At 37.2% G+C, this 15,126-nt stretch overlaps 1 protein-coding gene across 7 annotated transcripts in view; it reads left to right on the plus strand.

Moving 5' to 3' along the window:
• TAFA1 (TAFA chemokine like family member 1) overlaps nt 1-15,126 on the plus strand; it is a 554,078-nt gene that overhangs the window by 234,163 nt on the left and 304,789 nt on the right. The gene's annotated exons all lie outside the window — the stretch shown is intronic.

Consider the following 15,126-nt stretch of genomic DNA (forward strand, 5'->3'; position numbering starts at 1 on the left):
GCAAGGTATTTCACTTCTCTAAGCTTGAATTTCCACATCTTAAATTCTTCTTTGTCTTTATTCTTACTTGGAAAATTGTGTAATCTTGAGCATGTTTTTTGAAGTCTCTGAGCCTCAGATAACCTATCTGTGAAAATGAAGCAATAACAATATCTCTATCTCAGGTTTGCTGTAAGCATAAAAAAAAAAAAATCCATATGAAAACACTTTGAAAACCATCAATATGGAGAGATAAGATTTTGTTATACATAAATTTATAGCCTGTAGTTGAGACATGATGTTAAAGAGTCATATTTCACAAAACAGAATATTCCTGCAGCAGGCAGTCATTAGCAGAATTGAAATTCAGGTCCAATTTTCAGAGTTCAGTTTACTTGTTCAAAGAAAGACCGACTGATTGATGGAAAAGTGTTGTGATTTTCTCAGTCTCAAGGGTCTGCCTTTCCCACTGTTCCTTAGAGCTTGATCAGACAATTAAAAACAAGGGGTCAGGGTATAACTGAAAATAAAATGATTTTGTGCCATATGCCAATGCTATTCACTCATGGGCAGGCTGATATGCTCCAAAGTGTCTGATATGCTTTCATGCCTATTAACAAAGGGAGAGAAACAACCATATTATCACAATCATAGGTTTTCCACCACTGTGCTTCATGTTCAAATGAATGACTCTCATGTTTCTTAGGGACATCATTTTATATGCATACGTGAATTATCAATTCAAAATATTTACTTGCCCTCCTCTCCACTCCACTCTCACATACTCCCATGTCTGTCATGCCTTTTGGTGAAGTTCCAATATAGGAGACACAAGTGGTTAATGAAAATAAAACTTGAGATAAATTCTCCTTGGCCTCAAGGACCTAATCTGAATGGGGAGAGGCAGCCTCATCATTGCTTGCCCTCCTCTTCTTCATATTAATGTTCATTGTGTAACACATTTTACAAGGTACTTTCATGTATATTATACTACTTAAGACTCTCAACCACCCTGAGATGTAGGCAGAGCATGAATTATTAGCTTTCTTTTGAAGTCAGACAAATGAAAGCTCAGAAGTGATTTGGCTCAAGACAGAGAACCAATAGTTCTCAGAGCCTGGTCACTTCCCAGCTGAGCCCCCATCCTGATGCCAGTGCTTTTTCTCCCTACCACATCTGCCAAGCACAAGCTTGGGAAGACAAAACTTGCAAAAGGTAGCAACCAGCAATGAGCGCCACCAGGAAGCTGACTAGCAGTTCAGAGGAGTAAAGGGTACGTAGCCTTGGCCGAGGGGTTGTGGGGCACATAAGAGAAGCTGATTTGGCCTCTGTCCTCTAGAGAACATTTACTATTATAAGGGAGCCCAGATGCACACAAATGAAACAATGAGCTGCTGAAAGCCAAGAGTCAAGCAGTCATTGTTACTGGGGTGGATTCCTTAAACATCTCAAAATGTCTGTTTTTTTTTGTTTTTTAACACAAGGCAAATATTTCTAGCATATGCAAATATTCACATAAAAATTTGTATTTCTCGAATGTGGATTAGCTTGTATCCTAGCAATCTCTGTTTAGGTTTCCTCTAACAGGAATAGAACTAAAAATAAATCATATGTCATTAGATAATCTCAGAGTACATCCATTAATTTCCTTTCCTGCTAAAAAGCAATGAAATTATGGTTTGGGCTGTGTTGAGAACATTACATGAAAAATGAGGAAAGGGAATCAAGACAGATTAGAACATAATTATGTGGGCTGGAATTCAGCCAGACCCTTCAAAGCCTTGCCAAGTTGGTGACATCCTATGTCCATCCTCTAGGTAAACCTGGAAAATGAGTACTTCAAACTCAAAATGACACTTTCCATGTAGCAAGTCTCCATACAGGCATATTGGGGAAAAACTGAATCACAAAAGACCACAAAATGCAAAGGGAGAAATTAAGTGAAAGACTGAATAGAAGATGGAAAATATAATGCTGACCACTTATATATTATGGACTAGACTGTTGGCTTTTTTTCTCCCAACTATGGTCAGAGATATTAACTTTCTCTATACAGATCTGGCTTGAATCCGTGGTGAATTCCCAAACAGGGTGTGAATTTATCACTCAATATTGGGAGCATCTGGGGCTTTTCATTTTATTAAAATGATTTTTTTCCCACTACATGTGCTCCATGGAGCAAGGTCTGTACGTTATAAGTTAAAAGTGATTCCCCAGAAGGAAATCTTTTATCACTGGCCGTAACTTGGAGTGGAGCATATACTTTATTTTGGAAGCTGCCTTGTGGAGAAAACAGCCCAGGGTGCAACTTGGAGACAGGTTGACAAGTGCATAAGTAGCTTGTAGCTGAGCCCTCAGGATGGAAAGATAGAACACAGGCTGTTTCGGCAGATGCATTTGAGGTTTGCTCATCTGTGAAAACTGGGAGAATAAAAGTACTTACTCATTGAGTTATCATGAAGAGTAAACAAGATAATGCATGGAAAGCATCATTACATCCCCTGGCATATTGTAAGCCCTCTATAAATACTGTTCTTTTTCCTAATTTTTATATTTTTGTTTATTAATTTGTTTTAGAGATGGGGTCTGGCTATGCTGCCCAGGCTGGAGTGAAGTGGCTTTTACAGGCACGATTAAAGCCCATTGCAGCCTTGAATTCCCGCTCAAGCTATCCTCCCATCTCAGCTTCCCAAGTAGCTAGGACTGCAAGTGCAAGCCACCATACCTGGCAGACCTCTATAAATATCAACTGCTATGTCAGGCATGATAATCAGGCTCAAAAATATTTCCGCAGAAAATACATTATTACTGTATATTTTCTGTTCTAGCAGTACCATCTGGCTGTGTACTTTTACTTCTTTCATTTACTCCTGCTCGACTGCTTAGTTATTGATTTTCTTACTTGTCCATCTCTCCTACTATACTATGAATGTTTCAAGAACTAGGTTTATTACCTGTTGTCTCTGTAGTCTTGGTGCCTAGCACAAAGTTTAGAATTTACTAGTTCTCAATATATGCAAGTTTAATGGACTTAAAAGAAACAATTCTTTGCTTCTTAGTAAAACCAGCTTTGGGAAATATGCCAAGACTGGAATAAAACCACATCTCATCTGGTGTTGAACTTGCAAGTGAAACAGATGAGAATGGCACCCTTCCTCCACCTATATTGAGCCCTTGCTCAAATACTTAAGGTTAAGTGAAGGCTGAAGGAAGAAATTTGGGAGAAAGCAGGAGAAAAAAGGGACACTGGGGGAGGGATTTAAAGAGCAAAGATTGCTCTTGAAGAATTCATTCTGCCCAAGATGGTTTTCCACTCACTTCTCTGATTCCCTGACCACCCACCATCTGCCCCCTCCAAATATGGCATCTGGCTCGACTTTTAAAAAACAGGAGGCTTCACTTTCATCAAATTCAAGAAATCTTGGCTATGGACTTGTGATTTTTGAACCAGATAGGCACAATAGTCTTAGCAGCATTTTGTGTTGGAGTAGATTTGGAAGTCATAGTGAGTATTTCCTCACTGATTTTCTTCATTGGCAGTCAAGCAGATAACTAAGATCTGCTATTGCTCTTTCTCATGTTTTTACAACGTTCAAAAATAAGAATTTTACCTCTGTGAAATAAACATATATAACAAATCCTTATATGCTAGGTGAAAAAGTAGAAATTCTTGCTAAGATATCTTATTCTAAAACAGAAAAAATACCTGCTGCTTTACTGTCTAAAATGTCATCGCTCAACCATTTTCACTGGTTTGTGGTTGAGATGGGATTTTAAAAATCCCAACATAATCAAAGTAGTAGCACAAGGCACTGTTTTGTTTTGGAGTGGGCTTTTTTTTGGCAAATGATGCAAAACACTTTTCTAATGTAGAAATGAGAAATGTGGAAACATAGGCTGGAACTGTAGCATGGCCAAGATGATTATAACATAGTTGACGTTTTCTTCACATGGTTAATCATTACTTTTTCGTAGGTGGGAAGAAGAAATTAGACTAATTAAATTGTGATCATTGTCATATGAACAGCTCTCAATGTGCATTCATTGGAATGAAATATAGTTGTCAATTCTTTGATGTCAGACCTGTTTCGGATTCCAGTTTCTCTACTTACATGTGTAGTTTAACCCCCTTAAGGCTCAGTTTCTTCATCTATATAACGGAGAGATATATAATGCTTGCCTCAAACAGCCGTTTATGACAAGTAAATGTGATGATGTATGTAAAATCCTTAGAATAGCACAGGACCTATGGTGATGGCTTAATAAGTAACTTTTTTTTAATTTTTATTTTTTACTTTTATGGATACACAAGAGTTGTACATGTACATGGGGTACATGGGATATTTTAGCACAAGCATGCAGTAAGTAATGATCCAATCAGTATAATTGGGATATCCATCACCTCAAACATTTTTGATTTCTTTGTGTTAGGAACATTCCAATTCTAGTCTTCTAGTTATTTTTAAATATACAACAAATTATTGTTAACTACAGTCACTCTATGTGCTACCAAACACTAGATCTTATTCCATCCAACTATATTTTTGTACCCATAACAAACCTCTCTTTATCCCCCCCTGCAACCCCCCAATGAACCTTCCCTGACTCTGATAACCGTCATTCTATTCTATATCTCCATGAGATCAATTTTTTTTAATCCCACATATAAGTGAAAAATGTGCCATGTTTGTCTTTCTGTGCCTGGCTTATTTCACTTAACACAATGTCCTCCAGTTCCATCCATGTTGTTGCAAAAGACAGGATTTCATTCTTTTTCATGGCTGAATAGTATTTCATTGTGTATATGTACCACATTTTCTTTATTCATTCATCTATTGATGGGCACTTAGGTTGATTTCATATTTTGACTCTTGTGAATAGTTCTGCAATAAACATGTGGGTGCAGATATCTCTTCAATATAGTGATTTTCCTTCCTTTGGATATACAATGAGCAATGGGATTGCTGAATCATATACTACTTCTACTTTTAATTTTTTGAGGAACCTCCATACTGTTCTCCATAGTGATTGTGCTAATTTACATTGTCACCAACAGTGTATGAGGGTTCCTCTTTCTCCACATCCTTGTCAGCATCTGTTATTTATTGTCTTTTTGATAAAAGCCAACTTAACTGGGGTGAGACAATATCCCATTGTGGTTTTCATTTGCATTTCTCTGATATTAGTGATGTTGAATATTTTTATATCTGTTGACCATTTGTATGTCTTCTTTTGAGAAATGAATGTTCAGATCTTTTGCCCATTTTTCAAACAGATAAATAACTATTTAATTATCATTCAATCATTATTTACTGAGTGCCTTCTTTAATCACTAGTCATATTTAGTGTATTTTTATCAAAGACAATGAAGGTTTTTATATGTTTACATTTTTTGTTTATTTAAATGCATGTGTATGTTCCTGTATTTATACAGGATATGCAAATTGAAAGGTCCATCCTTTCCACCAAGCATAGAGATACAAATTTTTGTACACATGTATTTTTTCTGACATTTTATTATAAACATTTAAATACTCAAAAAGGTAGAAAATTGAACAAATGAACAACTCATTACCAACACATAGCTTACACAATTATCCTTTTATTATATTTGCTTTAACACATATCTGTCAATCTACCCATGCTTTAATCTATTTGATTTTTTTTTTTTTTTTTTTTTTTTTTTGAGACGGAGTCTCGCTCTGTCGCCCAGGCCGGACTGCGGACTGCAGTGGCGCAATCTCGGCTCACTGCAAGCTCCGCTTCCCGGGTTCACGCCATTCTCCTGCCTCAGCCTCCCAAGTAGCTGGGACTACAGGCGCCCGCCACCGCGCCCGGCTAATTTTTTGTATTTTTAGTAGAGACGGGGTTTCACCTTGTTAGCCAGGATGGTCTCGATCTCCTGACCTCATGATCCACCCGCCTCGGCCTCCCAAAGCGCTGGGATTACAGGCGTGAGCCACCGCGCCCGGCCAATCTATTTGATTTTTGCTAACAGCTTTATTGAGATATAATTTATATACCATAGAATCCACTTGTCTTAAAGGTAAAATTTAATGACTTTTAATAAATTTACAGAGGGTGCAGCCAAGTCCACACTCAGCTTTAGGGCCTTTCCATCATCCCAGAAAGGTTCCTCGTGCCCTTTTGCAATTACTGTCTCTTCTTAACCTTAGCCCAAGTAACTACTAATATATTTTCTGTCTCTATAGACTGGAAAAGCCATACATTTTTTCCTTTTATTTTTAGTTGTGACCCTTAATAATTGTGCATATTTATAGGATACAGAGTGATATTTTTGATGCAAGTGTACAGTATGCAGTGATAAATCAGGGTAATTTGCATATCTATCACCTCAGACATTTATCATTTCTTTGTGCTGTGAACATTCAAACTCTCTTCTAGATACTTGAAAATAAACAATAAATAATTATTAACTAAGGTCACCCTATACTACTATAGGACACTGAACTTATTCCTCCTATCTACTGTCATTTTGTATATGTTAATCAACCTCTCCCTATCCTCCTCTCCCTGCTACTCTCACAAGCCTCTAATAACCACAATTCTACTCTCTACTTTTATATGCTCAACTTTTTTAGCTCCCCCATATGAGTGAGAACATGTGGTATTTATCTTTCTGTGCCTGATGTATTTCACTTAACATAATGTCCTCCAGGCTCATATTGCCCCATGTGACAGGATTTTATTCTGTTTTATGTCTGAATGGTATTCCATTGTGTATCACATTTTGTTTATCCGTTCATCTATTGATGAACACTTTGGTTGCTTCTCTATTTTGGCTATTGTGAATAGTGCTGAAATAAACATGGGGGTGCAGATATTCAGTATACTGATTTTCTTTCCTTTGCATAAGTAACACAATAGCAGGATTGCTGGATCATATGGTAATTCTATTTTTAGTGGGTTTTTTTTTCTCTTTTTTTAGTAGCTATGTCACCCGGGCTGGAGTACATTGATACAACCATAACTCACTGTAGTCTCAAACTCCTGGATTCAAGTGATCCTCCCACCTTAGCTTCCCAAATAGCTAGCACTACAGGCACGCACTACCACACCTGGCTAATTTTTAATATTTGTAGAGATGAGGTCTCGTTACGTTTCTCAGTCTGGTCTTGAACACCTGGTCTTGAGTGATCCTCTCTGTTTGGTCCCTCAAAATGCTGGGATTACAGACATAAGCCACTGCACCTGGCCTATTTTTAGTTTTTTAAGGAATCTCCATACTGCTTTCCATAATGGCTCTACTAATTTACATTCCCACTAACAATATATGAGTTCCCTTTTCTCTGCATCCTTGCCAGCATTTGTTAATTTTTGTCTTTTTGATAGTAGCTGTTCTAATGGGATAAGATGATATCTAATTGTGGTTTTGATTTGCATTTCCCTGATAATTAGTGACATTGAGCATTTTTTCATTTATTTGCTGGCCTTTTGTATATCTTTTTTGAGAAATTTCTCTTCAGATACTTTGTCCATTTTTTAATGAGTTTATTTAATTTTTTTTATTTTTTGCTGTTGAGTTCCTTGTATATTTTGGATATTAGTTCCTTATTTGATAAATAGTTTGCAAATATCTTATCCCATTCTACAGCTTCTCTCTACTCTGTTGATTGTTTTCTTTATTGTACAAAAGCTTTTTAGTCTAATATAGTTTTTCAGTACCATTTATGGAAGAGAATGTTCTTTCCTCAATGTATGTTCTTGGTGCTTTTGTTGAAAATCAGTTGAAGTAAATACATGGATTTATTTCTGGGTTTTGTATTCTATTTCATTGGCCTATGTGTCTGTTTTTATACTAATGCCATGCTGTCTGGGTTACTATAGCTTTGAAGTCAGGTCGTGTGATACCTCCAGTTTTGTCCTTTTTGCTCAATGTTGCTTTGGCTATTCAGGGTATTTCATGGTTTTCTACAAATTTTAGGATTTTTTTTTCTATTTTTGTGAAGAATGTCATTGGTATTTTGACAAGAATTGCATTGAATCTGTAGATTGAAAAAGCCACACATTCCTAAGCAGCATGATAATAATTCATGAGTGCTTTTATACTGGAACTTCCAGGATAAAGGTCTTGAAACTGTCTATACCAGAAGGACCTTATTTTTTTAATGAAGCAAAGGTTATAGGGCTTACATACATCTTCTTGCATCTTTTTTGTCTGTGGTCTCACTCCAATTTTTAATGTCTAGAGCATTAAATAAATTCCCATTTTACTGACAAGAAAAAATGAGGGAAATATGAGGAAGAAGAAAAGACCGAAACTGGCAGAAAAGCAATGGTAATTGTGGAGTTCAAGCCAGGAGATCCCTGTTGTTCATCACTGCTCACTGCTGAGTCTCGCTTTGCTGAATATCACCGTACCTCCACAAAACATAACGAGATGGAAGAATACATACAGATTATCCAGCAGCTGATATTTCTGTGGGTTATCAGCTGGGGTGGTGATTGCTTGAACAGATTCCCCACTATGGCATTTGAGAGTGAAATCAAAGAACAGCAGTGGCAGGTGTTTGGAAACTGCATTTGGAATTGGCCTCCTACAGAAAGAAGCTAGATACTGACTTCGTGGGTGATGAGAGAAGTCGACAGCATTCTCAGAGGGAAGTTGCTTCTATGGCAGCTTTCCAAGCACACAGATTTAGGTTTCTTTCACATTAAATCCCTGAAGATATATATAGGGCTTGAGGAGCGGGGAGCAACAGGGATGCCACCTTCATATGTTGAGTATCTCCTCTTTTGGAGATAAAACTGTCGATGCTAACCCGAAGGAGAGTATTTAGGATTCATCAACTCTGAGTGCAATGAAAGTATAAAAAAGCACCAGTTCATCCAACATGCTGTGCACCCACAGTTCCCATTTTTCTATTTCCAAAAAGATTGGTTTCTGAGTCATTCCCAAGTGACACTGCTCCACTTTTCACCTGGCTCACCAAAGCTCTGCTTGGCCTTTCAAGATAGAGTCGAGTCATCACTACCCACATTTTCACTCATTGGTTAGTTTCTCCCACATTTTATTCTCGGCCTTGAGAAGCAAAGAAACCAACAAAAAAACCAATGTCATTGGTGTTTGCTGTAAATATACATAGATTTCCTCTGATTACAAAGTCACTGAAAATCACATAAAGGCAAAGTGGCAGAGCAGGTGACTTTTGATTCAAACAATGTAGTTTGACATCTATTTGATACAGCTTTCTGTGAATCCTTGGCAGTGTACATGCTCAGTAGAGATCCTTGAATGAATTAGTGAGGAGCACAGATGAACTCCATTGTCTGTAATAAACGCTTGACTCATTCCTGACCCCTGCCCCCACCTTGTATGCACACACGTTTATATACACGTTTGCTGGAGTTCTGAAGGTATTGCTCTTAGAGGCCAATATGCATTTTCACCTCAGTTCAAGGTGAAGGGGCTGCTCTCTAAGGATCTTAACTATTTTATTTCCTCACATATGGCAACTTTGTGGAGAGACTTTGAGTTCAGCGAATTAGGTAGAAATCTTATTTTATTCCAACCGATGAATTTTTTTGAGTTAAACATCTCCACTCACCATATCTTACCACATCTCACACATTGGTTATGAAATCCATCTTAGAGATTATGACTAAATGAACTGTTGCTCTTCAGGAGGAATAATTTGTCTCTATTATATTGATAGCAGCCTTAACACCTACCAGTTATAAAATTCTGGGCGTGTTATTTAATTTTTTTTCAGCACCAAATGTCTCATATGCAAATAACATGGAATGATTCTAAGAAATAGGTGGTATTGTGGGGATTAAAAATTGCATTCCAGGTTCATACTTCGCTAAAATAAATAACAGCTTCTGGGAATGGAGAACTTTTGTTTGTATTGGCTCAATTTCTATTTCCAGTTTTCCCATAGAGTAGCTCATTTTTTTCTCTGGAGGAGTCATTATGATCTGGTTGGTGCTTATCCTACCCAATGCTCTGTAGATCAAGTATGGCTGGCCAATCAAGTGTTTTGTGACCCCTGGTAGTCCAGTGAGACTCAGACCTGGAACCTTGGTACATATATTGGTAAAAAGAAACTGTCTTTTTGCTGGACTTAAAACTGGCCGAGTGCAAACCTGGTGCTTCAGAGAACCACTTCACACATGAAAATTTCTTGAGAGTGAAAATAAAGCAGAAAAGAGTAGAACTGAGATATGGGAAAGAGAAAGATGAAATCTTCCTCACAAAGGTTGAGTATCTACGTGGCCAACTCTGAAATGAGCACCATTCTAGACTTTTCCACCAAGAGGTGCTCTAAATATTCCTTATTTGTTTAAGCTGATTTGAGTTAGCTTTTGGCATCTGCAACTGGAAGTCGCAATTAACTTGTTTCTCATTAATGTAATTATTGAGAGTAAAACTACCACAACACTACCCACCTGGGTCACTCTACCTTGTTATACAAAGTTGATGCTCAATAAAGGCAGAACACCAAAAGCCTCATATTCAAGTAGGACAGAACCAAGGAAAAGGGCCACTCATAATAAAGGTGGACATTCTGAGCCATTTCATTATTCATACCTCTAGTTTCCCAAGGCATGCTAGGTAATATTCTAAGCTTTTTGTTAAACTCAAAAATTATTTTGGTTATAGCTGGATTTCAATGATTCATACTTTAAAAAATATATTTCCACAAGCCAGTGCATTCAAAATGAACTTATGAATTACTATCATTAGTGAGATTAAGAAATGGCATTCTCATATAGGCCAAAATACTTGGCTAAAGCCACTTAAACTCATTCCCTTTCATTATTTTATAATGTACTTTGTGACAGTTATTCTAACAAGATGCACTGAAAGGAGGTACTAATGAACTGAACCTATTCAGGAGACAGACGTTCGCTAACCAACTGCATGATGGGAAAAAAATGAAAGGTTGAGGTTGTTGAAAAACTCTGTTAACCCGAATATTCCAATTGCAGTCTTTCATATTCAGAGTGTGTTAATATTTTTCATGGGAAAATGTATTTCTTAAAGTGGGCTTTAATTATTCTTGAAACTAAATATCCATTTGAATGTCCCTGCCTGGTCATATAAAAACAGCTTCATGGAAGGAAGTCATCACTGAAACTGCTTCCTCCAATTTCCTGGCCGAGTTATGTTGGCTGGAGTAGCACCTTCTCATGAGATCATAATCATGGAATCCTTTGTGGAGAATTATTGACAGCACATCAATAAGAGCTCATAAAACATGTGCTGGAATTAATGGGGCTTCAACAAAGATCTCAGACATGAATTAGCTGTTCTAATGAAAATTAGATTATGTTTGCTAAACACTAAGACATTGAATAATATCTCAACATATGTAATGTTACAACACAAGATATACAAGATACATCATTGTCTTAATCTGTTCAGGCTGCTATAACCAAATACCATAAACTGGGTGACTTATAAACAACAGAAATGTATTTCTCAAGGTTCTGGAGACTGGCAAGTCCATGGTCAAAGCTCTGGCAGATTCAGTGTCTGGTGAAGGCCTGCCTTCTGGTTCACAGATGGTGTCTTCTCAATGTGATCTCAGTGGTGGAAGGAACAAGGCAACTCTCTGGGGCCTTTTCCGTAAAGGCACTAGTCACATTTGTGAGGGCAGAGCTCTCATCACCTAATCACCTCCCCAAGGTTTCACCTTCTAGTATAATCACCTTGGAAGTTAGGATTTCAACATATGAATTTGGAGGGGGTAGGGAGGGCTTGGGAGGACACAAACATTCAGACCATAGCAATAACATTCACTGCTGATGCTCAAGTAGATAGTTGACTCAGTTGGTTTTTAATGCTACGCACACATCAGGTACAAATGGATAACAAGGCATGTATGTATGAATTCATGTTTTCATGAATTTAACTCCTGGCATCCTGAGGGGGTGACACAACTTGGAGGCAGATTATCTCAAAGTAACCAATGTATAATAGGGTTCTGAATTTTTTTACCTATACACTTTTTGCCTTAAAATTTTATTGGTTTTTGTTCAATTACAAATATATTCCTTATTGTTAAAAAGTCAAAGTGTATTCAAAGATGTTGAGTTGGTCAGAGCCCAATCAGAAATGAAAAATCACATAGTAATTGGGATAGAAAGTTGCATATAAAGATTATGAACTGTAATAGGAGATTAGAGTATCAAGAGATTGACTGACTGACAAGAATTAAAGAGAACTTTACAAAATATCATAATAGCAGATATAAAAAGGCATCACTGAAACTGAGGGGTTAATTTGATCAGATGTGTCTGCCCTCCTTGCTTTTGGTCATTTGCTTTTTGTTATTTTTTTTTTTTTCCTTTTTCCATGAAGGCGAAGGCCAGGGTAGCTGAAGTCCTCACCACTAAATACTGAAACCTAACGTTCACTGGTCACTTTATGGATAACATTCATAGGCCACCATGGTAATGTTCGCTTCAGTTGCTTTTTCAGGAACTTGGGTCAGCTTCTGTCTAGTTCACACCCGTTGAGACACAGCCCTTCAACTGGGCCTGTACAAGTGTCCAAGAGGTGGTCTTTTGACATCAGAGGGCTGGTAACACCACTACCATTAGGGCTGAGGTAGGGGACCCCAGGAAGAACCTTCCTCCCTCAGGCTGAGACCTGGACCTTGTGGGATTTCTCAGACCTTCTTAATTTTACCAGTTAATTTTCCTTATTGGTTACATGAACTGAATAAAGAAATTCAGGATTTTCTCTGAAGAATCGGCAATGTGATGCCAGATGTAAGATCTGGAAGAAGCAGTTTACAGGTTTCCTTCAGCTAAATTGTGCAAAAACGAAACTTTAATTTTCCATGCATAGTACATTATATGACCTATATAGTCAGCTAATTTTGAAAATTTTATTTCCTGATGATGACAACTTGGTAGGGTATTAAATGGGACTGTTTAATCAAAAGCTGGCACAAAGTGGCTAAATACAAAAAGAAAGGGTGGAATTGTTTTGTTAATCCTTTCCTTTGCCAAATTGATGGCTGATGATTAAAAGTTTTGTAATATCTTAACAGAAACATGGACATTTCAGATAATCATAATATTTAAACACTTTTTTGCCTAGTTCTCTTCTCTCCATAGCCTCAATCAATGCATAATTATATAAGAGAACATTTACACCGAATGAAAATGTCACCTTATTAATGAGTATTTAAACCCATAGTTTAAGGTTAGTTTGCTTTAGATCAATATTTAGGTTTGAAACTTGTAGAAACTAATGATCTATGGAATTCTTTGGGGGTGAAGGCTTTAAAACATATCCCACTTTTTTGATTTATGGATTTACTTGGGCTAATTTCTAAACAGGCATTCCCAGATGGAAATACTTCAGTGAAATATCACTTTTTGAATATTAAATTTTTACTGGAGAGTAATTTTGAGAAGCAAAGATTTGAATCATGGTAGAGATGTGTGTATTTATACTTTTTGGACAAAAATTAACTTTTATGTATACCTCAAATAGTAAGGAATCTTCTTAGTTTTCTCTGTCTTCCTTTTACCTCCCTTTTCATTTGTCAAGAATTTAGTATTAATATATGTATTATGGAAGAAAGTAAGAACTAACAATTATGACTGCATTGACTTGAGTTCATGTTACAAAGTTTATCAATAAGTTATTAGAACTCAGGAGCGCTGAATTTAAATTCAGAAACTTATTTACAATTAATGTGCCTGAGTTTCTATTTATCAATTCATTCTGTTGAACTTCCACTTTATGGTAAAACAGATACAATTCTTTCTTCCTGAATATTTGGTAAGAGGATTTTTTTTTCCCAATATTTCACCCTTTATCCAGGACAGGCACCTGAAATTCTGTGTGAACTACACCCCTAGCCTGACCCAGCCCCAAACAAAAACAGTCACCATGATGATGATATTACTAGCATTTGAAGAAGGGTCTATGCTTATTGGATAGCTCTCAAGTCACACATAGATGATTTTAAGTAGTGCTTAGTTTAACTTCTAATCTCTTGAAGGCTTAGTTGCCAAAACAATTAGCAGGTTTAGTCAGGGAGAAGGAAGCAGTCCATCTGCTTCTTTTGTGCCACTGAGAGCAAACAGCCAACTGATCGACTGAATCCCTCAGACAATTAGTCAGAACCATTTGCAGCCCCCATGTCCCTGTAACAACCTTGTTGACACATTTATAGATGAGAAGACAGATGGTTTTGCTGGAAGTGAATTTGCCTTTTAAATATATAATAGCACCTTATAAATAAATGGTGTTTATACATAATAGTGTAAAAGGCTTTCTTATACATTCTGAAATCTGATGTTCACAGGAGCTCTTTTGTAAAATAGGTGGTTTTACACATAAGGCAATAGAGTATTACAGAGGTAAAGTGATTACCCAAGTTTATATATGAGCTGGGATTAGAACCACCAGTCTTTTGACTGCCAATCCAGTGTTTTCTCTACTACACTTTTAGAAATGATGAAGAGAATGGGATGCTCTTAGATATTTTATGGCAAATGATCTAAGAATACTCATATCTTCTTCCCAACTATACCACTCCACTTCATGGTGTCCCCTTAGGAGACCAGTGAACAAGGAAAGCTGTTTAAGAAAGCACAGTAACATTGCATGTGTAACTAAGAATGTACAAAATAGCAGGTCAGAACTCTTGTAAACTGGGGGCAAAGAATGTCATCTAGCCAAATGCAAGACTCTTCCATCTCTCTTGAACACAAAGGGAAATCTCAAGCTGTTGTCATTGGTCAACTCCATAGGAGCACAAACGAGGGCAGAGAAGAGAGCAGCAGAAGATGTATGATTTAGAACATAGCATAACCCTTCCTTTTTTAAAATCACTCCAGCTGCATAGAGAGAAGGAGCACCATGCTCACCCTTGCATCGGGTTTATATGACCTTTGACTATACAGTGACCCTGCCCACTAGTAAACAGGAACCATTCTGTGACATAGACCTAGTATGTCCTAGCGTCTGAACTGTTAAGTGTATATCACTCTCCTTTGGAAAGACACAGAGTGGACAGGGAGGAAGGACAGAGGAATCTTGCTTCCTTCCCCTCCTTCAGAGGTCAGCATGCACTCTGAAGCGCTGTAATTTTTACAAAGTCTTTTCAAAAGAACTCATGTATATTCCTTTACTGATTTGTACTGTCAGGGAAT

The sequence above is a fragment of the Homo sapiens genome, chromosome 3 (genome assembly GCF_000001405.40).
Source record: "Homo sapiens chromosome 3, GRCh38.p14 Primary Assembly".
NCBI classification, from domain to species: domain Eukaryota; kingdom Metazoa; phylum Chordata; class Mammalia; order Primates; family Hominidae; genus Homo; species Homo sapiens.